Below are 26,007 nucleotides of genomic sequence, written 5' to 3'. Positions count from 1 at the left end.
TTGCTTACTGAGGATAAGATCAAGTGGCTGATTAACAATATTGACAAATTTTAATTTGGAAGGGATAAACGAATTCAACATTTAATATGCTTCCAACACTTTGCATTTTGTTTTCTTATAATAAAAATTGTTCTCCAAGTCACATAGAAGCCCCAGATGCTCTCTCCTTTTCTCAAATGTCCTGTGCTAATAATACAATTTTTTGGTGTGATATGATATGAAGAATTTTAGGGAGCACATAAGAAAAAACAGTTACCAGTCAAAGGTTAGCAACTGAAGTCAACTGTCTTCTCTTCTTTTTCTAAGTGTTTCAACAGAAAAAGAGATATGCATTGAAGGTGGGTTGCCAACAGAGTTTTGCTGTACTCCAACCTCTTCATTTCAAACTCTTGAACCACAAGTCTAATCTGAGAAAAGGAGACAGGATGAGTGGGGGTAAACTTCGAATTGAATAGAATATTTAAAGTTAAAATAAGTATGTTAGTCTTTCAATAAATGAAATAATTCTTTCCAGAATAAATGTGATTTAATTGAGTCAAAATTAAAATGCCAATTAGAAAACTGGTACCCAGTAGGAAAAGAGGATATTACTGAACATGGAAGGTATTAATTATTGGATCTAAAGGAATGCTTTTTATTTCTATGCCCCAACAAATTGAGTCTTTTTTTTTTTTTTTTTTTTTTTTGAGACAAAGTTTGTTCTTGTTGCCCAGGCTGGAGTGCAATGGCTTGATCTTGGCTCACTGCAACCTCTGTCCCCCAGGTTCAAGTGATTCTCCTGTCTCAGCCTCCCAAATAGCTGGGATTATAGCCACGTGCCACCATGCCTGGCTAATTTTGTATTTTTAGTAGAGATGGCGTTTCACTATGTTTGTCAGGCTGGTCCTGAACTCCTGACCTCAGGTGATCCATCCACCTTGGCCTCCCAAAGTGCTGAGATTATAGGAATGACCACCGTGTCTAGACTCACATTGAATCTTTATAGCAAACCAGTTACATAGATTTGACATGCTTTGCAAATATCATTCAAAGTTATTTTGGATACCCACACTAGACACATCCTTGCAAAAATTTTTAATCACATAAATAGAAACAATAACCAGAAAGTGAAAACCACCTGAATAACCATCAACAGGTGAATCCATTAACAAATTGCAGCATACTACATAACAGAACACTATTCAACAATAAAAAGGAATAAAGTATTCAAACATAAAACAACATGGATGAATCTCAAAAAATTTGGGCTAAGTTAAAGAAGCTGGACAAAACAGAGTATCTGGATTTAGCTCCATGCACCTCAAACCCCTCTCCTGCCCCACTCACAAACTAAACTTATAAGCAAAAGAACAGATTCAGGCTAGCTACTAAGTCCTATACAATTATACATAACAGATTTTGCCTAGCATTTTGAGGACATAGTCTGAGGACCTAGTGATTGTGTATATAGCCAAGATCAATGTCACACAATAAAATATTTCGCATATTTGGGTGGGATCATAAAACATATTATCCATGAACCATTCTTGAAAATGTATTTAAAAATCTACTCCAACAGATCAAGCCATGCATTAATATTAAAAGTGCTAGAATGGCGAAGGCACAAAGGGACTGCTGGTGAATAAAAATGCAATTGAATACAAGGTTAAATTTCAAATAATTGTAATAAATTTGAATATTTTTAATTTAAAGAAAATATATGTAAAAATTAAACATTTATTATCTGTGGGTTGAATTTAAAACTAAATCAGTGTTTTTCAAATTACGTTCTGCAAGAAACTAGTCTCATGAGATGCTTTGTAAAGAAGACTTCAGTGGATACGTAATTTTTAGAGGCAATATCTACTCTATCCTCTCTTGAATATTCATACTGCGTATTCAAAGGTTCAGAAGGCTTGCATCAAAGCAACCAGTTTAAATTTGGGTAAAGAGTATTTTCCAGACTTATTTGACCTTAGAAAATTGTCCTTAAAAACACTTATTAAAATGTTAAGAAATAATCTCTGAAATGAAACATTTTGACAAAGACCAGAAAGATTACATATACTATGATTAATTACATATAGATTATATGTATTATCATTAATTCTATATTATAATTTGTTATTACATACAATAATATAACTAATTATATATCATATTTTATGATTATATAGTATATATTATTATATGAAATAATATATAATTAATTATATATATCACGGTCTTTCCAGTCTTTGCTAAAACGTTTTATTTCAGATAAGATTTCCTAACATTTTAATAAGTATTAGCAAGTATTGGTGAGAGTATGGAGAAAAGGTAATTCTTGTGCACCATTGATGGATATGTACATTGGTATATCAGGAAGGAGGTCCCTAAAGAAAAATAGAACTACCATATAACCCAGCAATCCCACTGCTGAGGATATGCCCAAAGGGAAGAAATCACCACCTAGTAAAGATGTTGGCACTCACATGTTCCTTGAAGCATTATTCATGATAGCCAAGATATGAAAACAATGTACAGTCCACTGATGGATGAAAGGATAAAGAAACTATAGTGTGTGTGTGTAAATACATGTGTGTGTGCATGTACATACATGTGTGCACACACACACAATGGAATATTACTCAGCCTTAAAAAAGAGAAGATCCTGCCATTTGCAATAATATGGATGAATCTAGAGAGCACATTATGCCAAGTAAAATAAGTCAGACACAGAATGATAAATACTGCATGATCCCACTTATATGTGGAATCTTAAAAAAATCAAGTATATAGAGACAGAGATAGAGAATAAAACAGTGGTTACCAGGATTGAGGTGAAGGAGAGAAAATGGGGAGATGTAGGTCAAAGGGTAAAAAGTAGCAAACATGCTACTAATATACAACATGAGAACTATAGTTAATAATAATGTATTGTAGTCAGAAATTTTGTTAAATGAATGGATGATAGCTGCTCTTGCCACAGAGCGGGAAATGAGTAACTAAGTGAAATGATGGGTATACTAATTTATTCCACTATAGTAACCATTATATTATGTATATATGTGTATATATGTACATATATGTATCTTGTAACATGCTGTATACCTAAAATATGCATAATAAAATTTATTTTTAATAAGAAAGGTTAGATTAGCAAAAAATAACTGTGCTTAATTAATCATTCTGTTTTGGGGCAATTAACAGTTGTTGTGTAGTGTTTGATGTTGATATATAAGTAGATATACGTATGACAAAGACAAATATGTATATACTCACTGATGTGGGAATACTGATGCATGTATTCACTCATTTATAGTTAATGCTTTGAAATCTACAAGTCTTATTAGTGAAAATTTTATTAAATCCTCCTTCATGTTTCCCCAGGTCCAGTTTGTTCAAGAACCTGTCCATTTGCTCATATGACCAAGGTGAGTTGTGGTAGGAGATTCAGCCTATTTCCACACACAAAAAGCAAATAGGGAGTTGTTACTTGGCAATCCCATTACTGGCATGACTTACCTCTATGTCTTACATAGTGTGACAGATGACACTATTTGTCCACTGGCTCTGACATGCCCTTGCTTGTTCACATCCCTTCACATCAACACCAAGATTTCCAGATTTTATACTCAATGCTGTTTCCTAAGTCTCAACCACTGATATTGGAAACTGCAGAATTCTCAGCTTGATCTACACCTGAACCTTAGATCATGAGCCTCGCCTATGATACAGGTAATTTTATTGTAGGTGGTTATGGTCACCTTGGTGCAAATTGATTGTTTTCCTTTATTTTGAACTTTGGAAAGCAATAATGGGGAAGTTTCAGTCTCCTAAAACTTCGTTTGCCAACTGGCCACTCACTCGCTAGAGCTGCTTACCACAGTCTTTAGCACCTAACTTAGTCAAGCAAAAAGTCTTATGCGTCTTTACTCTAGGTCAGGGAGCCTGCCTGCATTATCTTTATATAACTAAAGGATACTACTTGTATTATTCTTTATGAAGTTTCAAATTAATTTTTTTCTCCTGAACTTTTATGAAAAAGCAATTTGTGTCTTTGTTGCAAAAATAAATTTAATTTCAACAGGGAAATGCTTATGCTTAATCTTACTGTATTAGTCCATGTTCATAGTACTATAAAGAACTGCCCAAGACTGGGTAATTTATAAAGGAAACAGGTTTAATTGACTCACAGTTCAGCATGGCTGGGGAGGCCTCAGGAAACTTACAATCATGGTAGAAGCTGAAGGGGAAGCAAGGCACCTTCTTCACAAAAGTGGCAGGAAGGAGAAGTGCTGAGCAAAGAGGGAAGAGGCACTTATAAAACCATCAGATCTTGTGAGAACTCACTATCACGAGAACAACACAGGGGAAACTGCCCCCATGATCCAATTACCTCCACCTGGTATCTCCTTGACATGTGGGTATTATGGGGATTATAATTCTAGATAAAATTTGGGTGGAGACACAAGGCCTAACCATATCACTCACTTAAGAAGTAATCTAGGGGTAGGCAAGCTAAGACTTATTGCACAAAGTGCCATCAAGGTTCTAGGCACTTCTCATTCGTCTGCCATTCTCAGTAGATGAAATGTCTGCCATTGTTGCGGCAGTATGTCTGCTGCAGCAGCCTGGAGTGTTATGTGCTCATGTCAATCTGTTCAAATATCAGAGGAGAAAGGGGCAGTCCTAGTGGTGAGGAAAGCCTTTTTCCATATTCCTCTTTAGATGGAGGGAGAATCTTTCCCAGAAACTCTCCAGGAGACATCCCTAAGACTTCATTGACCAGAGACTTTTCACATGGTCCTGTCCTATGTCACATTGCCATCCCAGAACTATGTCACATGGCCATCCCAGGAATGTTCAATATGTCACATTGTCACCCCAGGACTGTGCTCCATGGCTATCAATATGTCACATTGCCACCCAAGCATTACATCACAAGGTCACCCCAAAACAGTGTCACACAACCATGTCAGAACTGTGTCACTTCCATAGATTTTGTCACATGGCTACTCCAGAAATCTGTCACATGATTTCACATTGCTGCTGCAGGACTCCGTCACTTTCTACCCCACAACTATGTCATAATTCCACCATCCCATGAGTCTGTTAGAGGACCACTCTAAAACTCGGTCACATACTACCTCTAGAAGAAAGAAAGCTGGGAATACTGATAAGTGACAGTTCAGCTTCTCTTGTAGGGAGCAAGCCCGCCCGGAAAAGAAGAAAGGGGGAGAAAATGGCCAACTATTAGGTAGGCAATCAACCCAATATTGTCTACCACTAAAATGCATGTGTGTGTGTCTATGTGTATGTGTGTGTATGATGTTAACAGCAAGAGTTAGAGAAACAAATAGAGTTACCTTAAGATTCGGGGAACCCATTGTGTCACAGGTTGAGCTGAATTAGAAAATGGGCAAATCCTGAATCATTATTATGAGAAGAGAAGAATGAATTTGCTAAAGGAGAAACAAGAGGCAATTTATGGAGTAAGACAACAAACAGGTGGCTATAAACTATGTTTTCCGTGTTCCAGTTTCTCTGTACTCAGATGGACTTCTAGTACCATCAGGAAAAGAGTTGGGTTGTTCCCTACACCAGTGTAGAACTTCAGGAGTTAATTCCAGGATCTAGTCTTTGTTCTTTCTAGCAGGGTGGCAACTCAATTCCATCAATTAATCCAGCAGGGAGCACAGCAAATGGATGTGGTATATGCTTATCCACATTACATAGCTCTCATTGCTAATGAAGAATGACACGGATTCTTCTTTTTAAAAATTTTTTAAAAATTGGGTGAGGGCTAGAATTTTAGCAAAGAAATCAGAAAAGGTTATCCAGATCAATCACCATCAGCCCAATGGGGAGGGAACTGAGAAACCCACTTTGTTATCAGAACAACATCTTGCTAGTTGCTCAAAGGTGACTCTCAGGACACAGCATTTTGCTTGACTGCTGGCCTGACACTGATCATCAGTGTCCTTAACTTTCTTTTAAAAATCAGGGGTTTTAATAGAAACTGCTAGTCATATTTATCTCTTGTGATGGTTCCTAATTAATTGACCTACCTGGCATTTTGACTTAAGTTAGCTAAATAAAAATTGTGAGTTCTTTAACTAATTTCTCCTTTTTTTGTGTGTTTTTAATGTTTATACAAAAAATCAGGAGTTCTTTGCGGCTGGAATTGTCTAATCACTGTGAAATAAAACACTTTCAGTTGGCTACACACACAAAATGATGTAGATACATGTTCCAAAGGCTACTAAGAGGGCATGACATGTTTTTCTCAGTTGTGTTAACAAATTCACGGTACCTTTGACATGGCCACAGGGATCTCCGAATGTGTATGGAAGGGGCAGTGTTCAAGGAAGAGTGGAGGCTAAGGTGTTGTCTGCAGCATCCCAGGATCTAGTGCTTTTGCAAGCCAGCTGAGCACACTGTTTGAGAAAATTACAGAGCAATGTTCTTGCAAGGAGCAGGGACCAGCCCTCCCTCCTCCCACTGCCTAATTCCAGGCTACAGCGCCCACTGTGTTCTCCTTCGTTTCTCTTCAATGACAACCTGACTCTCAAAAGTGTCACTAATAAGCCAGTTCCCAATTAGCTGTGGAGGTTTTTCAGGGCTCTTGGCAATGTTCCCATAGCTTCTGGAGGCTGTTGCTGCCTACAAACCAAGGATCATTTCTGCTTTGCACGATTCAAAGGCAAGAGCTGCTGGGAAGGCAACACTCTGGTTTTATTATTCTTTGTTAGCAGGAGAACAGAATACATTGCTTTTAATACTCAAATATGTTATTTGAGAAAAAAATATGTAAGTCCTTCTGCCTGGACCAGCTCTCTGTTTCATATTTGTGCAAGTGCATGCACACATCCAGCAGCCCAAGATGTTCTCACAGAATAGTCCTTAGAAAATCCTGCAAAGCAATTTAGAAACTGTAGGGTGTGATAAAGGAGGCCACAAGTTGAGGGTTAGGAATGAGACTGCAAGTGAGGCAACCACAGGGCCTGCCATCTAGCTGTCAATGAAAGAGTGACAGCAGGTCCACTCTTGAGGTGTCTTTGTATTTCTCTTGAGCTCTAAGTGGGAAGGGCAGTACTCTTTGGGCATTTTAACAGGCACAATCGCAGGCAGGCCCAGTCTGTTTCCATGAGCCACATTGTAAATCACTAGTTAGTGTCTGTGCTTAGAATGTGCTTCGGACAAAGCACATTCCCTTTATTCTTGGAAGATATCAGTGCATAGCTGGTTTGGCATCAATGGCCTCTAAATAGTGGATGGAACCTTGTTTGTCCTCAGAGAATATCTCAAGTATCCCTGCCAGTAAATATCATGGGTCCTTTTGTGTGCTTTCTCATCTCAGGCTTATAGAAGTTGTATGCAGTCAATATTACTATCTCTGTTTTACAGATGATTTAGGTCTCATGGCCAAATCACTGGTAGAGCACAGCATAAACCCAAATCCAGTTAACTCTAAATCTGGTGCCCTTGCTACTCTCTCACTTGTAACCCAGGGATTGAGCCTGTAGAGACCTTGTATCAGAATTTTAATGAGGAGAAAAAGAAGAGAGACTCTTGACATCAGTTAGGACCCTTGACAATTTGTACACCACTTTTTAGGGGTGATACATCCACCAAAAGTGGAATGAATGGCTTTTCTAATATTCTTAGTCTAATTTGACTGAAATGAGAAGTAGACTTTATAAGTGGAAATACGTAATTCCTTAGCAAGGAGCAATTTATATATTCCATGTCATTTATTCAATACTTAATGTGTGCCAAGCATTATGCTAAGGGCCTTTAATGTAGGATTACCAGTAAGTGCTTAATAAATATGTTTAAAGCTGTTGTCTTTGCCCATGATCACTCACACATACATGGAAAGACTGGCCGCCACACCTGTGTGTGATACTTATATTAAATAACACTTTGCATATTTCCAATTATTTAAATTATTTGTGTGAAGACTGTTGGCAATGTTGAGAGCAGAAGTAGTTCCAGGAGGGTGGTAGCTGTTTGTTTGGTTCTCCTTTGCATCCCCAAGGGCCTGCAATCTTCCTGATGCATCATAGGCAGTGAGTGAACATTTGTCGACTGGCTGATTTGTTACACCGTACTAACATACACACATGACAGGTGTGTGTGTTCTGATTCCAGTAGATTTGAGAAGAACCATTGTTTCATTTGAACAGGAGTAACTTCAGGGAAAGAGGCATATGACAAGAGGAGGGAGGAGGTTCTCCCTCCTTGCCTGCTTGCTGGTTGACTGATTTTCTACTAGCTTCATCTTGGGAACAGAGAATAGAATTCAATATACCTTTTAAAACATGAATAATTCTGCCTTGCTCTAGTGTCTCCTGTAGAAAATTGAAAATAAAATAAATTATGGGACTAAAAGAGATAAAAAATGTTAAGTTTTCCCCTTTCTTGCAATCTTACATATTACACCTCCATTTTCTATTCCTGCCACACCAAGTTTACTTTCTGCCCCCTACTGAGCAGAATGTTATAGTGATACAGAAGAAATTAGCAAATGAGGCAAAAGACAGAAGTTACTTTTGGCCCTTAACATGCCCTGCTTTTCTTAGTCCGTACTCCTTTCACCCTTTCATCTCATGCTGTCATTGGCAGAACTGAATGAGAAAACAGTAAAGGAGGAACTTAATCATTTACTTGCTCAACAATGAGGAGGCATATATTCTAGACAAGGCACCGTGACCTCCAAGGGATTAGACTTTAATAGAGGGTATTGGATACAGACATAAATATTATATGGTGCCAGCCTGAATCTGAAACTATTAAAGTATTCTAAAGATGATGATGATGATAAGAGTAAAAAAAGAGATGCAGATAATTTCTACTTGTAGAGATGAGAACATTTTTCATAGAGGAAACAGGTAACATTTAAACCAGGCTTTGAAGGATTGGCAGAATTTTTACAGTAATTCTGTTGAGAAAGAGGACTATTTCATATGAAAGAAAAATCTAATTTGTTGACCCTGAGGAATTCAAAGAGATGGATGTTGTTAAAAGTAAGAATCAAGGGGATCAGTGTAAGCTAATGTCACCCACCTAACTAGGAGTTTCCATGTAGGGCCTTTGATGCCTGGCTGAGGAGCTGGCTGGCCACACCAATCCAGCTGATGTACATGATTGGGGTGGTGAATAGGGCAGCATGGAGCAGGGAGAGACTCACATTTAGGAGACTGAGCACTAGATTTCTCTTTTAGTTGTTTACCTATTAGGAACATATCAGTAGATGGGAAAGAAAGAAAGATTTTTAAAAATTAGGGAATTTTAATGCATGCAGAGGTGACAAGGGAGCGGAGAAGAGTGGGGAGCACATGTGATAAGCTTATGCAGAAGCTTGTCTTCCCACCTGGAATATAAGCTCTCATTGCTTTCCTCTGCTGCTCCTGCTACTCTCTTCTGAGTGTGTGCTGAGTGGCAGGTTGTAGGGACAGGGAATGCATGTCCATGGTCACTGCAGTGTGCGGGGCCAGGGAGGGTAAACCCCTGTGTGACAAAAACCAGGGTGACAGAGTGCAAGTGGTGTCAAAAAGTCTCTCTCATGTGGAAAGGTAAACACAGAAAAAAACTCATTATGTTCAAATAAAAAATGGAATATGCCTCATAAAAATTAAACAAAACAAATATGACCATTAGGGTAACATTACTCATTTGGGACTGAATTTTATTTTTGTTTTTGAGACAGAGTCTCACTCTGTCACCCAGGATGGAGTGCAATGGTACAATCTTGGCTCACTGCCACCTCCGCCTCCTGGGTTCAAGAGATTCTCCTGCCTCAGCCTCCCGAATAGCTGGGATTACAGGCGCCCGCCACCATGCTCAGCTAATTTTTTGTATTTTTGGTAGAGAGGGGGTTTCACCGTGTTAGCCAGGATGATCCGATCTCCTGACCTTGCGATCTGCCTGCCTTGGCCTCCCATGCTGCTGGGATTACAGGCGTGAGGGACTGAAATTTTTAAAATTCATTCTTTTATATTTAAGCCACTCATCTCAGGAACATAAACTAGTTAATTACATCTCTTCACAATTAGCTAGGCCTGCATTTCACTTCAATTGCCTAGTGATTGTTTTCCACCTCTCTTTTTTACATAATGAACATTTTTGTCAGGTACATAATTATATTAGACTGAGTTATTAAGGGAAATTGCCAAATCTTCTTCAAACAAGTAACTTCAAAATTGATAATATTTTTATCTGGAATGCAGCTGGTGTGCTGGAAGATCACATTAGTCCCATAATTTTTGGGGGGAAGTCAAGATCTTATTAATAGGTTAGGAAAATCTTGGGTTCATGTAATTCATTTCTCTAAGGAAAAGCCCTTTGTAGACTATGAATCCATCTCTGTGAGGACTGTGTAGACAAAGGTTTTCTGTGTTTACAGGTGGAACAGTTGAGGCACTGTGTGATTCAGGGTAGTGTTTTACAAAAATAAAATCAATTTCTCAATGCAACTTGAGATTTATATGACTGTATTCCTCACGTATGTCGAAGCCCATTGCCCTATGAACAGGAACAGGTGTGAAGAATGTTCACATTTAATTGGCTACATAATTCTCCAGAGGAAGTGAATTTTCAATTCCCTAATGTCTTGCAGCAAAATGGGAAGCTGGCATGGACTTGCTTTGAGCATCCATCTCTCACTGCTGTCTGCCACCTGGGCCCTCTGTGTTGCCTTCCACATGTCCCTCTTCTGGGATTTCTTTCACTGCCAGAAGAAGAGTCTCTTTACCTCCTCTCCCAACTACATTCCATCTGAAAATGGAAACAAATGCAGCGAGCAGAAGTTTAATTTATTAAATTTAACTACTTTTGTTGGAGGCCTGACTACTTGAAGGTTTTTCAAAAGAAACTAAATAGAAGTAAGTTGTTACCAAAACCCATTCAATTTAAGTATAGTTAAGGTTGATGACCTAGACTCATAAGGATTTTGAAAATGTCCCTTTGAGTATTTGTGTTCAGTTACTGCCTCAGTGACGGCAGTGTTCTGTTTGTACATAAAGTGAGGTTGAATTAATACTGGTTCCTGGGGCACCTCATCAAGTACTCAAAATGTCACTGTTTTTTTACCATTTATTTTATAGCTTGCCAGCCAATTTTCCAGCCAACTCAAATACATTGAATAAAGTCTTAAGTGTTATTTTATGAGATGGTTACCTGCTCACCAAATTTGCAATTCATCTTGCACTTACTTTTATTATTTCAACTTTTATTTTAGATGTAGGGGTACATGTACAGATTTATTATGTGGGATGCTGAAGTTTGGAATATGGATCCTGTCACCCAGATAGTGAGCATAGTACCTGACAGGTAGTTTTTAAACTCACCACGCCCACCCCCCCACTCTCTAGTAGTCCACAGTGTCTGTCATTCCCATGTTTATTTCCTTATGTGCTCAATATTTAGCTCTCACTCATAAACAGAACATGCAGTCTTTGTTTTTCTGTTCCAGTATGAATATGCTTAGGATTATGGCCTCCAATTCTATCCATGTTGCTGCAAAGAACGTAATTTCATTCTTTTTATGGTTCAGTAGTATTCTATGGTGTACATGTACCACATTTTCTTTACCCAATATACCATTGATATGCCCCTGGATTGATTCTATGTCTTTGCTATTGTGAATAGTGCAGCGATGAACATATGAGTACATGTGACTTTTTTGTAGAAAGATTTATTTATTTGGGGGTATATACCCAGTAATGGGATTGCTGTGTCAAATGGTAGCTCTGTTTAAAGTTCTCTGAGAAATCTCCAGACTGCTTTCCACCATGGCTGAACTAATTTACATCCTCACCAACAGTGCATTAGCATTCCCTTTTCTCTGCAACCTGGCCAGCATCTGTTGTTTTTTGACTTTTTAATCATAGCCATTCTGACTAGTGTGAGATGGTATCTGACTGTGGTTTTAATTTGCATTTCTCTGATGATCAGTAATACTGAGCATTTCTTCATATGTTTGTTGGCCAGTTACATGTCTTCTTTTGAGAAGTGGATGTTCATATCCTTCACTCAATGGGGTGGTTTCTTTTCTGCTTTGACAAGACTGATAAAAACAAACAACAGGGAAAGAACTCTATTCTTTTATGTTTTTCAAAAAAACAATTAAGTGAGTTGACTACAAATATTTATTCAGAAGTCTTTGAAACTGTCATACTTAAAATATGGTAAAAAGTGATAGTACTTTATTTTTATATTTTATATGAAAAGTCTGTTTTATTTGAGATGAAAATTGACTTTGGTTGTCTATATTATTCAGAAAACAATACTTCTTATGTAATTTTGATGAATTACAACAGAATTCCTCTGATTTTATGATGATTGTCTACAAATTTTTATAGTATATATTTAAGGTGTACACGTGCTGTTCTAATACACATATACACAGTGAAATGATCACTATGGTTAGGCAAATTAACCTATCCATCACCTTACATAGTTATCTTTTTTTGGTGATGAAAGCACCGAAAATTTACTCTCTTAGCAAATTTTCAGTATACAATATAATGATCTATAGTCCTCATGCTCTCTGTTAGATCTCTAGACTTAATCATCCCACATAACTACAAATTTGTACCCTTTGATCTGCGTCTCTCCATTTCCTCCTCCTTCCCCGATGTCCTTGGCCCTGGTAACCACTGTTCTACTGTCTGTTTCTATGTATTCAAACTTTCTTTAAATTCCACATATAAGTGAGATCATGTGGTTTTTGTCTTTCTGTGCCTAGCTTATTTCAGCTAGCATAATGTCCTCCAGGTTTATCTATGTTGTTGCAAATGGCAGTATATACTTTTTAAAGATGATATTTTTTTATTGTGTACATATACCACAACTTTTTATTTTTATTTATTATTATTTTTTTTTTTGAGACAGAATTTTGCTATTGTTGGCCAGGCTGGAGTGCAGTGGCGCAATCTAAGCTCACAGCAACCTCCACTTCCTGTATACCACAACTTCTTTCTCCCTTTATGGACAAACACTTAAGCTAATTCCTTATCTTGGCTATTGTAAACAGTGTTGCAATGAAAATGGGAGTGCAGATATCTCTTCCACATACTGATTTCATTTCCTTTGGATACCTACCTAGCAGAGGGACTACTTGGTAGTTTTATTTTTAATTTTTGAGGAACCTCCATATTGTTTTCTATCATGGCTATACTAATCTACATTTGCACCAGCAGTGTACAAGTGGTCTCTTTTCTCCACACCCTCATTTCTCTCACATTTTCAAACATCTATTTGCTTCTCTTTTAATGTTCATTTAATTATGCAACTCTTTAGAACTATAATTTTAAAATGTTAATGGTTTGGAAAGTGTTATCTATCTCCCTCATCTTCAAATACCCTCAACCCAGCTGATATCACCTTAATTCTTTCCTATTTGTGTTACATTTCCTTATTAGTGGCAGGTCTGAAGAAGTTTTATCAGCCCCTTCACTTATTCCTCATTTATAGTTGCAGTCTTCAATCCTTTCTCTCTGTGTAATATATTTAAATTTTTCTTTCTCTTTATTGACTACCTTCTCATTCAGGTCTTCACCCCACACAACCATCACCAATTTGTTTGTTTTACTTGATTATCTTGTCACCATGTTCTTACCTCCTAACCCTCTTCTTTGTAAAGCAATTATATGTTAGATGACCCATGGAAAGCTTAATTTAATTCTCTTTTTTTTTCCTACTATAAGATTAGCCTTAAGAGATGATTTTTTAAAAAGGTATCTCATTTAAAAAATGAGATCACGGCTCTTAAACTCAGTGTTAAAACCATTGGTGGGATGTGACGAGTTGAGTGTTCTATTAGTGGATTTGTTACTTCAGATGGTTAACTTACCATAACTTGTGAATAATTTACTCTTTTCTAGAGATAAATAGACTTAAATGATTTTCCACAATAATATCATTGCTACATTCTGATTCATCCTGGAATTGTGGTTAGCACATGGAGAATTGCACAAAATCCTGGGTACACTCAAGAGCTTCTTCCTTGTTCTTTCCCACCTCTAGTTCTGCTCCTCATAGAAACAAACATTTGAAAGTCAGTTGTCATCATACAGTAGGAAAGAAGTCACTATTTTCTGTTTTGTACTTTCATATATTAAATATCATCTTCAGTTTATTGATAGCATTATTCTTGACTCTGTGAAAGTCTCTATCAGTAAGTACTAAGTATCAGTTTATGCTATAGGCTTAGCTAGGATTCTTTGATTCTCAGTAGCAAAAGCTAACTCAGTCGAAAACCATTCGGTCTTACAGGATTGATGGGAAGCTGGAGACCCGATCTTGGATATAGACAGATCTCAAGCACCCCTGAAGGTCGGGTGGCAGAAGCAGTAATGACCTTGTCTTGCAGGAGCAGCCTGACCTTGGAAAAGCCTAATGTGAACTGAGACCTGGGCAACCTGGTTCCTCTACTAGAGATTTGGATTCTATAGAAAGAGCTTTCTATTGACTTACCTTGAATCATGAACTTGGCTAGAGATGGCCAGCTTTCCCCATTACAGACCTACTAAATTATACCCAGTGGAAGGAGGTGATATTATTAGGAAGAAAATATTAATGCCGAGAGGTCAAAAAACAAACACCACTGGACTAAGTATTTCCAAACAAAAACCTCATTCCCATTTGGGGAAAACTGCTTTGTAATCTTATATTTGGACTTTCAGAATTATTCTGTATAGTGGCATTGTGATTCAGCAAAGTCTTGAAATCTAAACAACAATAATGATGGGAGATGCTGAAGACTTTCAGTAGAAAGGAGAGGCGCAAGTGTCTGGTTGCCATTCTCACAGAGATCTCTGTGGGCCTGGGTAGGTATATGTGGGGTGGACTGTGCTGTTTTTTTAAAACAGGTCTTGAATTCTATGGAGCTGCACTTAGCAAGGTAATGTCATGTTCAAAGTCTCTATATTCTTTGATCTTCAGGTTGGTGCAGGCTTAGGTGAATGCACAGGGAATGTAGTTTATTGCAGAAGGCAATCTGCTTGCTTTCAATGGTACCGATTACTCAGAAGGTACAGAGTTAGAAAACAACTTCCCATGATGAAAATGTGCTAGTGAATTCTAAGAGCTGGATCTGGGATGACAACATTACATTAAAAAATTCTGCCATTTGTTTTAAATCATAAAGAAGATCCAGACAGTCCAAAAATATACTGATAAAATTTTGATTCTAAGCTATATTTTTCTCATATTTAATATAAAGTAAGTAATTTACTCAATAAATATTTATGAAGAAATTGCCATGCCCATTTTACTCCCTTTTCTTTGTTCACCTAGATTTTATCAAAGTGTAGGTGAAAAAAAATTGAACAGAAAAAATATTTAGAGATAATAACATCCTTTGTTATTATATTCTTTGTTATTATCTCTAGTAGAGGAAACGGTACATTCCTTTCTAGTGCTAGACCTGATGCTTAGAGGCAATAACTTTTACCTCCGTTAGCTGGTTCTGATTCCTCTGGTTGTTACGTCCACAATTTTAATAAATATGCTTATGTTTCTGTTTCTTGTTGAGCAATTTAGATTTCTTGATCTGATAAATGAGTATTTGCCTCATTATACCATTATACCACCACCCCTTTCTGCGTTCTCCTAAACAGTTAAACAGGAGTTTTCAGATTCTTTATTGATTGCTTTATAACTTCGAGTAATTTAAAAACACTGTTACTGCTTCCATCAAATTATCTTAGATTCTCCTGAAGCCGAATTTGTAGGCTGATGACATTACTGGCTCTACTATTTCCTTCAGCTCTTCTCCGTCTTTCCTACCTGTAGACTTCTGTCATCTGAAATTTTATTTTTATATTGTCAAGGTTGAAAATATCCACACCGAGGTGTTCTAATCACTGCCTATAGTTTATTTCTAATAGAATTAATAAAAAAAGTTTACATTATTTAACTATTTCAGAGTGTGGAATTTAATTACTTCTAGAAAAGGTACTTTAATTACATTTGTTTTCTAGAGTATCTAATTTCCCTTTTTATTTCTTATTTAACTTATCATAGTCCCTATATTTTCAATTCTGTATTTCAGACAGGTATTCTACTGACTCACCTTCTCCCGAACTTTGTTCCTCTCATAGGTTCCCCTCACCCTTTCTGTGGTCAATATTTGCTATCCCGGGTTCCTGCCAATATTTCTTGGATTCTAAATCCTCTTTAGTCTTGGTCATCCCATTGTTGCACTTTGCACCTCCTTAAGTAACCTCTTAGGAAAAAGTGTTTGTAAGGCAAAATATCTGAGTCTGTGCATGTTTGAAAATGTCCTTATTCTTTCCTCCCACCTGAGAAGGAACAAATGCTGTCAGCTGTTGGCAGGCATGTTACTGCTACTGATACTTCCTATTTAACACAAACAATTTCATGGAATATCAACATCAGACAAGATGTGTGTGGTGGCTCATGCCTGTAATCCCAGAACTTTGGGAGGCCAAAGTGGGCGGGTCACCTGAGGTCAGGAGTTCGAGACCAGGCTGGCTGACATGGTGAAACCCCATCTCTACTAAAAATAAAAAACTAGCCAGGCATGGTGGTGCAGACCTGTAATCCCAGTTACTTGGGAGGCTGAAGCAGGAGATTCTCTTGAACCTGGTGGGCGGAGGTTGCAGTGAGCCAAGATTGTGACACTGCACTCCAGCTTGGTGACAGAGTGAGACACCGTCTCAGAAAACAAACAAACCAACAAACAAACAAAAAGACATAACTTTGTGACCATGACCGTGCAAATAAAAGCAGAATAACCGTAATTGTGTCTGAGCACAGACAACAGCAAATCACAAAGACATCCAACATCCTCTCTTTAAGTAGCATGAATGACCGCCACTTCCATATGAATTAAGCTTTAGAACTGCCTCTTCCATTTCTCCTGAATCCTAGATAAAAATTCTTCTTACTCCTAGATTTCTCCTGACTCCTAGATGAAAATTATTAATATACCTAATCATAGGATTATTCCTACCTCCCGACAGCAGCCAAAACCATACTTCCTTGAACTTTATTCAAAATAATTCAACACAAGCCTAAATCATATAACAAGATTTCTCCCAACACCCTCTTGCAGAGTTGCACATAGCTCCCCATGGACTGAGGTCTTCCTTGCTGCAGAATATATCATTTAACATAATCTTGTTCAACTTCAGGTATGTCCCAGATTGTTGACTGGTGGACATTTATATATCTTATTGACAATTTCGCAGATACAGAATTCTAGGTTAAAAATCTCATTGTCTCAAAACTTTGAAAGTATTGTTCTGCTGTCTGCTAGCCTGAATCTTTCTGATGAGAAATCTTATGCCAGTCTGGTTTTTGTTCAATGATGTATGTTCAACGTGCTTGAAAGTTTGAAGGACGAAGCATAGCATTAGGTAATATTTATTGAGTATGTGTCAGGCATTAAACAATGCATTCTTCACACTTTACTGTATTTAATCCTCACAAAAGCCAAATGAGAGAGCTACTACCTGAGATTTATATAAATGAAGTAAATGGCTCAAGGTCACACAGCTAGTTGGTGGCAGAGCTGGACTTCAGCCAAGACCTGTTGACCTCTTAATCCCTGGGGCCATACAATTATGCTAATGACACTTCAGGATTGTCTCATGAGCATTCTGGCATATAGATTTACTTAGTGAAAAAGCTGAAACTACTGATGAAAATCAGGATTTGAGATTACATATGGGTTTCATTGGCAGGCAATTCCCAATTTACAAATGGGCTCAGTTTTAAAATTTCCTCGTGTTTAGCCAAATGTAATCCAACCTTAGCAAAAAGAAGCCACCAGTAGAAAGAGTAGAATATGATAAGCTTCTCTCCACAAAAGAAGGTTGGAATAATTTGAAACACTGACATTCCTGACTAGCATGCTGGACCACAAGAGAAATTTGCATTATAAAAACCTAGAAATTTCATTAAGAACCTTTGTTTTTTTTTGTTTATTTTTGTTTTTTTTTGTTTTTTTTTTTTTGCATTTGAAATGCAAATATTTGGTTATAACAAATGAGAATGCAAAATTATTAAATAAATCAAAGTTGATCATTTACAATGAAAATATAAGAGGTCCATGTAAATCAAAGTGGAGTTGGAAAATGGGCACATGCCAAAACTTGAGCTTTGATGGAGGAATCTCTGCATTTCAACCTCTCATCAGGGTTTCCAGTCATCAATCAGATCAAGCAAAGCCTGAAAAACTAAGCTCTCATCAAAGTCCCAGAAATCTTAATTTATTTCTCTTCTCACTCCAAGTCCTTGGGTGGACTCTAGTTTTCTGTGCATCCATGAAAAAAACAAACAGCAACTAAAAAGAAACACAAGCAACCTGAGCTGGCTTTGGTGAAACCCCGTTTATGCCATTTTTCGCCATAAGAAGACTCCCATAGCACACAGAGTTTGAAAGTGAGCTGACTTTTTAGCAGAAGTGACCAGTGCTATATTGGACTTTAGGGTGGCCACACAAAAAGACATAGGGTTTGGAATATAAGTCCTGGTATAAAGAACATAAACTACTACTTTGCTTAGAGCAACTCATCTCTTAGAGAGTGATTCCTTCAAAAATTGTAGGCCAATTATATCTTCTCATTACCTCCCATCTCTAAAAGGCCCCTTTCAATAGCTGGTTATGATAGCTCTTGGTTTCTGGAGTGAGATACCGTTGCAGAAAATTGTGTGTTTGTATGTGGCAAGTGTGTGTATGTGTGTGTCTGTTGATATGGATGTGGATGTAGATGTGGAGAAAGAAAGAGAGAGGCTGATAAATTTCCAGAGTGCCTGTTCCTTTTTCACAGTTGGCTGGTAACTGTAGTGGGTAACATGAGTGGAGATGCTGGTATGGATAAGATCAGGGCGTCTTTGTGAGTGAGCATTGATTTGCTATATTCCCTAGTGGTTGAGGAAGCTCAGGTTCAGTGCTAATGCAACTGGCAACTTCTGCTAATCCTCAACTGAGTGCACACACTGATTAACAGAACAAAGCTACAAATTCCTGCTACCATCACAGGCAGGTCAATCAACCCTGTTTTATATAACACACACTTTCCTAGGGATACAAAGTTCCTGAAGAAGTCAAGAAAAAGGAGAGAGCAAGCAGCCTGTGAATCCCACACCATTCTGTTCTGTAGGAGGAAAATTCACAAGGATTACTCTTCCCCCAGGAAGAAAAAAAAAGCATCATTATCATTTTCACTGGTTTCTTTAGGTCTCTGCATTACCAGGTTTGATTTTGCTCTTCTATTGGCATCCTGGGATTTAGAAGAAAGAAAACATTGTTTCCTTGAGAGTCAAATCTCTGGATATTTTTAATACGTTACAGCTCAATTTCACTAGCAGTTTCTGAAGCAATATGATCAGAACCGAGTATATTTAGATCAGCTGGGCCAGTCTGCCCCTCCAGCAATGTGGTGGTGGGAGCTGGGGAGAGGCAGGAGTAAAAGGAAGGAACTGGAATGTATTGCAGGGAGAGGAAAATCCTGTTTAATTTCTCCTGATGAAAAAGCTGAAATGCCAGAAGGGCAAAGAACACATCACACATAGAACCACATATCTTGCTATTGACTAAAGTTCAGACTTCTACTTTTATGCCATTATCAACATGATTGACCAAAATCAAGACCAAAAAAGCCAACAAACAAAATAGACAGAATGGCCAATGCTCCTTTCCCTCAAACAACACCTAAATCTTTTTGCAAAATTAAGTGGTAATTATTATTGCTGAATAGAATTATAGGCTAAAATATCTCCCCCTGGACATTCGTTACTGTTGTTGATATAGTCAAGGTGAAAAAGCAGTTACTTCATGATATCCCATGCAGCAATATCACTGCTAGTGAAAGATGGGGCTTTTGGTCAACTCTTTTGTGAACTATTATTATTCAATTGTTTAAAGTTTCCCGGAAAAGTTTCTTGGACTCACCTTGATTCAGTGGCCTTCAATTTCTGTGAAAAGATGCCACCAATAGTCTTACCATCACTGTCTTTATATAAATTTCCTTTTTAATGTAAATGATTTGTCCAATAAACTCCACTAGTAGTAGAGTAGCAAGGTGTCTGATAACAGGTATGGGAAAATCAGCTCTTAATAGATAATTTCTATGTTCAAGTGCCAGCTTTATCACCAATAACTGAGCATGATTCTCACTTATATATTGACAAAATGGGGATATTAATAATATATACCTGATGGTGTTATTGTAAGAATTTACTGAGGTTATATAACATGGTTAAACTCTGTCTGACATAGATAAAGTACCCAATAAATGAACTGAGATTCTCCCCTTAATCTAGGTGAGTAGGCTTGAAATACAATAGACAGAATAGTTGTGTATTAGTCCATTTTCATGCTGCTGATAAAGACATACCTGAGACTGGTAAGATAAAGAGGTTTAATTGGACTTACAGTACCAAATGTCTGGGGAGGCCCCAGCATCATGGCGGGTGGTGAAAGGCACTTCTTACATGGTGGCAGCAAGAGAAACTGAGGAAGAAGCAGAAGTAGGAGCCCCTGATAAACACATCAGATCTTGTGAGACTTATTCACTATCATGAGAATAGCATGGGAAAGACTGGCCCCCATGATTCAATTACCTCCTGCTGGGTCCCTCCCACAACATGTGGGAATTCTGGGAGGGACAATTCAAGTTGAGATTTGGGTGGGGACACAGCCAAACCATATCAAGTTGAGATCCCAATTTGGGCTTAAATAGATTCAGATTTTTATTAATTCTCAGCCATGTTACAACCTGCAGTGGAACCTTGATAAATGTAGCAGATATCAGTAGGTAATTAACTATGGAGGCTCCTGAAAGTGAACCGTTTTCTCCTAACACCTATATTCACATCTTTCCTAAACCTTGAGTTTGAAACAGAGTGCCCTAACCTTCCTGCTACAAGCTGAAGTTCTTCTTTCAGAGAATATGGTATTATTAGGAAAATTCAAATTATCTCAAGCTCTTGCCATATTTAAAATATGTTTGACTTTTTATTGATTGCTAGAAGAGCAACAATAACAACAGCACCCACATTCGTACAAGGGGATTGAAAATGCTTTTGTGAACTATCTCTCAGATTTGAGAACCCCTGATAATGATTCTACAAGGCACCACAGAGATACCTCAATGGCTATAAACAAAATTTTTCCCTTTTTATTTTCTTCCCAGTATCTCAAATATTTAACAGAAAGGGTTCAGGTTTCCTAACTCCTATGACCTCAGATAGCCTGAGGTGATTTCATGACTAGGAAGGGAGCTTTTTGAAGGGCAGCCACACAATAGGAATGTATTAAATATTTGTAGAATTTATAAAGCTTCTTGAACCTTTGAATGCCTCCATACCAGAAAATGTCCATATTTCCAGTGATTTATGACATACTCTCCTATTGAAATTGCCCTTCTTGCCTTCTAATCATTTGCTGTAAAGTATTATTCCCTTCTGCAAGCAAATTCCTGGCAGTATGCTTCCACAAAACTCAGAGGATTCAGACATGAAGGATACGTAAAACCACTGGTAACATACTTCTCTACAAATCACTGGAAGTCTGGGGTCTTGCCTCAGTGGTTAGAATTCACTGGAACTGGACAAGAAGAAAGTACATTTGCAAGTAACACAAAACCTCTAAACATTGCAGAGTGTATTTACTCTTTTATAAATGCTGTTAGAATCTAAGCATAACAATATGAGTGCCTTCTTGCTACTGAGTGAAACCTGTAAGAGAAAATTGAATTTCATTGAAATATGAGGTGTTCCAAACTCTCATTGCCTTTGTATCACTTTAAGAACAGCTCCCTCACTGCTCAGAGATATATTAATATTCCTTCGCTGTCAGTTCTTTGGGTTACAACTAAGCCAAGAATGAAAATCACTGGAAGTTGTAAGTAACAGAGGATCTTTGTCATAAATGCCAAAAAATTATTATGAGAAAAAGTTACATTTCATCAGCATTTTTCAAATGTTGTTTCTTTTCATATTTCTCTCCTTGAAGTAAAAGAATTTCATCTCTATGGTAAATTCTGTATTTTCTTGGCCTAGGCTAAAACATGGAGTTGAGCCAAAAAGTTTGCAAAAACCCTGAAACTCTGAAACAATGTTAAGATTATTTATTTAAATATGTGAAGTCAGCAGTCTTCCTATTGTAATACTGACCCTTTTGCTCATGTGTTTCTACATTAAGACAGTCCAACAAATAATAATTTACATTTACCAAGCCTCATGGCACTCCTGAAAAGTACTGAAGAAGCGAGTTATTTATCATACAGGTCTGGGAAACCTTGTATGATCGCGTGTAAATGAGAATGTGTGTGTGTATGTGTGCAAGCATGAAGTCACATGGCAACTTGCTTGAAGGAGTACTTGTTCCCTTAACACAAAGTAATCATAAGCAAGTTCTTTTGATATAGCCAAAAATGACATTCTCCTTTACTTTCTGAAGGAAATAGTGAACAACTCAAGAAAAGTTTATGTACTTTGCATTTGATTTCAAAAACAAACAATGACAATACAACCTTTAATCACTCCAAATTGTGTTGGACTCATTAACTGTATCTAAGCAGAGATTTCTAAAACATATCTACGAAGCAGAAATGTTTTATTAGTAGTATTCGTATTGTTAGTCACAATTAAGACCTATTGAAAGAGCATATATTATGCAGAGTAATCTTCTTATTATTTGTTTTTTTTTCTCTTTTTACTATCAGATGAATCAATTTTGCACCTTTCAGCTGGAGAGCTGAAGGTCATCTTACACTCCAGTAAGACTTGTTGATTGTTTCTTCATAAGATTTTTCACATATATCCTTTTCTTCTGATTTCTATTGCATCATTATTGTCCAAGTTTTCAATACCTCATCCCACGACTGTTTCATAACCTCCTGTCTGATCTCTGGGACTCCAGTCCTTTATCCAATCTGTCCTTTGAAGTTGTGGCCATATGCATTTCCCTGAAAGACTGAATCCATTATAGCATGCCTTTCAAACAAAAGAAAACAGCAACAAGCAAATCTCTTCAATGACTCTTCATGGGTGCAGGTTGAAGTTCAGACTTTCCCAAAGTTCTGTGCTGTGACTGTTTGTAAGTAGGGCTGGTGTAAATATTTATCCGTAAGTAATAGGAGCAATTTGATGTGAACTAAGACTAATAGGGCCAATTAGAATTTGTAAGATATGTTTATGTAACCAGAACTGCACATAATTCGATATAAGATAGACACAAATATAAATGCCAGAACTTCCAGTTACTGGCTGTGTGACATTAACTTCTTTTGATTGCAGTTTCCTCATCTGTAGAATGGGAATAATAATACTTAGTCACCAGGATGTTGCACATATATGTGGTTGTAGGACTGAGGTTCCTGTCTTCTTGCTGGTCATTGGTCAGAGGTTGCTCTAATCTCCTAAGATTTGTCTTCAGATGTTACACAGTGGCCTTCTCAAAATGTGGCTGCTTATGTCTTCAAAGCCCATAGGAAGCTCTCTCTAGCCTGCTTTGCATGAGTCTTGGTGTAATGTAACAATCACGCAGTGACTATCCCATCACGTTTACATGTTCTGCCCACACTCAAGGTGGGGGATTATTAGGGGGTGTATACCAAGAGTGGGATTATTAAGGGAGGAGAATCATAGAATTCTGTATATCACAAGAGTCTATGAAAAGAAATATTTAAATACCATTAAAAGGCCAGATCAATAAAACAGCATGAGGTATTGTTTTCAAAACTTTCTAAAAACCAAAAAGCATTTCTTTGTGTATAAACACTGTCAATCCTTGGAGGCTGTAAGATATTGTAGGAGTGAGGTTTGAGAGTTGTTGGGGGTGAACAGTGGATGAAAAACAGTTGGAATTATTATCATAATTAAAATTCCTTTTTTTGTTCTGAAAATTTTACTTTTTCTATTGTATTTATGGTTCACAGTCTACCCCTGAACTTTAAGAAGTTTCTATAAAAGTTTAATTTTAATTAAAAAACCTTGGGTCAAGCGTGGAGAAAAGGTATGAGATGAGGTTGGTCTCTCCTGCAGGCTCCTTCATACAGATGTGGCCACAGAGCCAGATGTGCAGAGCACCATTTGCTTATCTCTGCTAGTGTGTGTTCTGGGTTGAGGCCATATTCTATTCTTTCTAAGTCAATAGCAAGGTCAGTTTCATATGAATATGGAATAAGAAGAGAAATTCTCCCTCTGTTCCCCAGCAGTAGGTGTGGTTACAGGTGTCCAGGTAAAAGGGCGTATGGCTGTATTCTGGAGACTCATCATGTGTGTTAACTCCACTTGGTGCCACCCTACTGAGTAGTGGGAAACCACTTTTAAGCAGTTCTGGCAGTGTCGCTTCTCTGAGACCTACTCGGAAAAGGTAGATGAAGTACCTCTGCTCATCCTGAGATGAGTAGAATGCCCTTGTTTTATTTTCTCTCTCCAGTAATGACAAACACCTAATCTCCATAGTCTCTCACTTCATTAACATCCTATTTTCTTTTGCCCTCCCATTAGTTTACCTTGTGCCACCCTCAGCTTAGGTGTCGAGGAATTTTCCTACCCTCAAGTGCTGGCTCCAAAGCCCCGTTTTCCTGACTTGTCACTTTCTGTCCAACCAAAGATGCGTTTCTAGCACTTCTCAGCCCCCAGGGGTCAGACTCCACTTTCCAAGTGGTCTAATTGTTTTACCTCTCAAGAGGCCCAGCCCTTTAAGTTATAACAGATGTTATATAACAGACAGAGGAGCTAATGTCTGCCAGGAAGGAAACTCCTTCATTAAATGAGGTCATATGCCCAATTCTTTGGTGACAGGTACTTATTATTGGACTAACAAGACCCTACTTAAATATGATTTATTGTCTGAAAATATTAAAATAATTTTCTCCTTAGTAATGTAAAAAGTTCAAAATTTACATTTATTTTCAGAAATTCAGATTTATTATTATGTTGCTTATTGGCACTATGTTTATTAAGAATGTTTTGTCGGCCGGGCGCGGTGGCTCACGCCTGTAATCCCAGCACTTTGGGAGGCCGAGGCGGGCGGATCACGAGGTCAGGAGATCGAGACCATCCCGGCTAAAACGGTGAAACCCCGTCTCTACTAAAAAAAAATACAAAAAATTAGCCGGGCGTAGTGGCGGGCGCCTGTAGTCCCAGCTACTTGGGAGGCTGAGGCAGGAGAATGGCGTGAACCCGGGAGGCGGAGCTTGCAGTGAGCCGAGATTGCGCCACTGCACTCCAGCCTGGGCGACAGAGCGAGACTCCGTCTCAAAAAAAAAAAAAAAAAAAAAAAAAAAAGGATGTTTGGTCTTGAAAAGATTAGATTTACAATGTAAACATAAAACATCTTAACAGTCTTGTATGCTTATGTATATATTTGAATTTTTAAAACTATATCTAAATGCCCACTTTTTCTTACATATATAGCTGCTGTCCTGTCAGTGTCACTGTTATCTATTGATGCATAATGAGCCTTACTGAAACTTAAACAATGTAGGTGGCTTAAAACAAGAACAGCATTTACTTATCTCATGAGTCTGTAATTTGGACAGGGCTTGGTGGGAACAGTCTGTTTCTGTTCCACTGGGCATTAGCCGGGGTGGTTGGAAGGCTAGATTTGGGAATAATCTGAGTTTTACTCACTTGCATTTCAGGTGCCTTGTTTGTGCAGAAGCAAATAGCTGGAGGCTGAGGCTTCTGGGATATCTCTGTCTCTCTTTGTGTGGTCTTTTCATATGATTTTTTCAGCATGGTTGCTTCAGGGTAGCAGGTAGCTGTATGTTTTACTTGTCAGTTCAGACTACAAGGTGTACATTGAGAGAGAGAGAGAGAGAGAGAGAGAGCAAGAGAAAGCAAGAGTGTGCCAGAGGGACACATTATAGCATTTTACTACCCAGCCTTGGCAACTGCACCATACAGCATCACTTCTGCTACATTCTATAGATTAAGCCAGTCATAAATGCTGGCCAGGTTCAAGGGTGGGGGATATGGGTTTCACACCCTGATTGGAAAATGGCAAGGATTGAAGAGCAAGTGGAGCTCTAAACATTCTTGGTACCATTT

At 37.8% G+C, this 26,007-nt stretch overlaps 1 long non-coding RNA gene across 1 annotated transcript in view, besides 2 other annotated features; it reads left to right on the top strand.

The window, feature by feature from the left end:
- Window positions 1-26,007, top strand: part of LINC01218 (long intergenic non-protein coding RNA 1218) — a 68,704-nt gene that overhangs the window by 24,091 nt on the left and 18,606 nt on the right. The window contains exon 2 of the long non-coding RNA NR_189167.1: window positions 3,352-3,395. This is a non-coding gene — a long non-coding RNA (long intergenic non-protein coding RNA 1218). The remainder of the gene's footprint in view (window positions 1-3,351; window positions 3,396-26,007) is intronic.
- Window positions 22,550-22,719: an enhancer, noted in NCBI's record as "experimental_71505 CRE fragment used in MPRA reporter constructs". NCBI's record gives its function as "activates a minimal promoter by MPRAs in K562 erythroleukemia cells, with activity observed for both the introgressed and non-introgressed 4:101754555 or rs35863364 variant alleles {active_cell/tissue: K562}" and the evidence as "EXISTENCE:reporter gene assay evidence [ECO:0000049][PMID:34662402]".
- Window position 22,634: a transcriptional cis regulatory region, noted in NCBI's record as "Neanderthal adaptively introgressed variant 4:101754555 (GRCh37/hg19 assembly coordinates) or rs35863364 in the experimental_71505 CRE". NCBI's record gives its function as "modulates activity of the experimental_71505 enhancer by MPRAs in K562 erythroleukemia cells {active_cell/tissue: K562}" and the evidence as "EXISTENCE:reporter gene assay evidence [ECO:0000049][PMID:34662402]".

Source organism: Homo sapiens, chromosome 4 (assembly GCF_000001405.40).
Source record: "Homo sapiens chromosome 4, GRCh38.p14 Primary Assembly".
NCBI lineage: Eukaryota > Metazoa > Chordata > Mammalia > Primates > Hominidae > Homo > Homo sapiens.
Note: the sequence above shows the minus strand (reverse complement) of the source record. Positions and strands in the feature narration are given on the sequence as shown.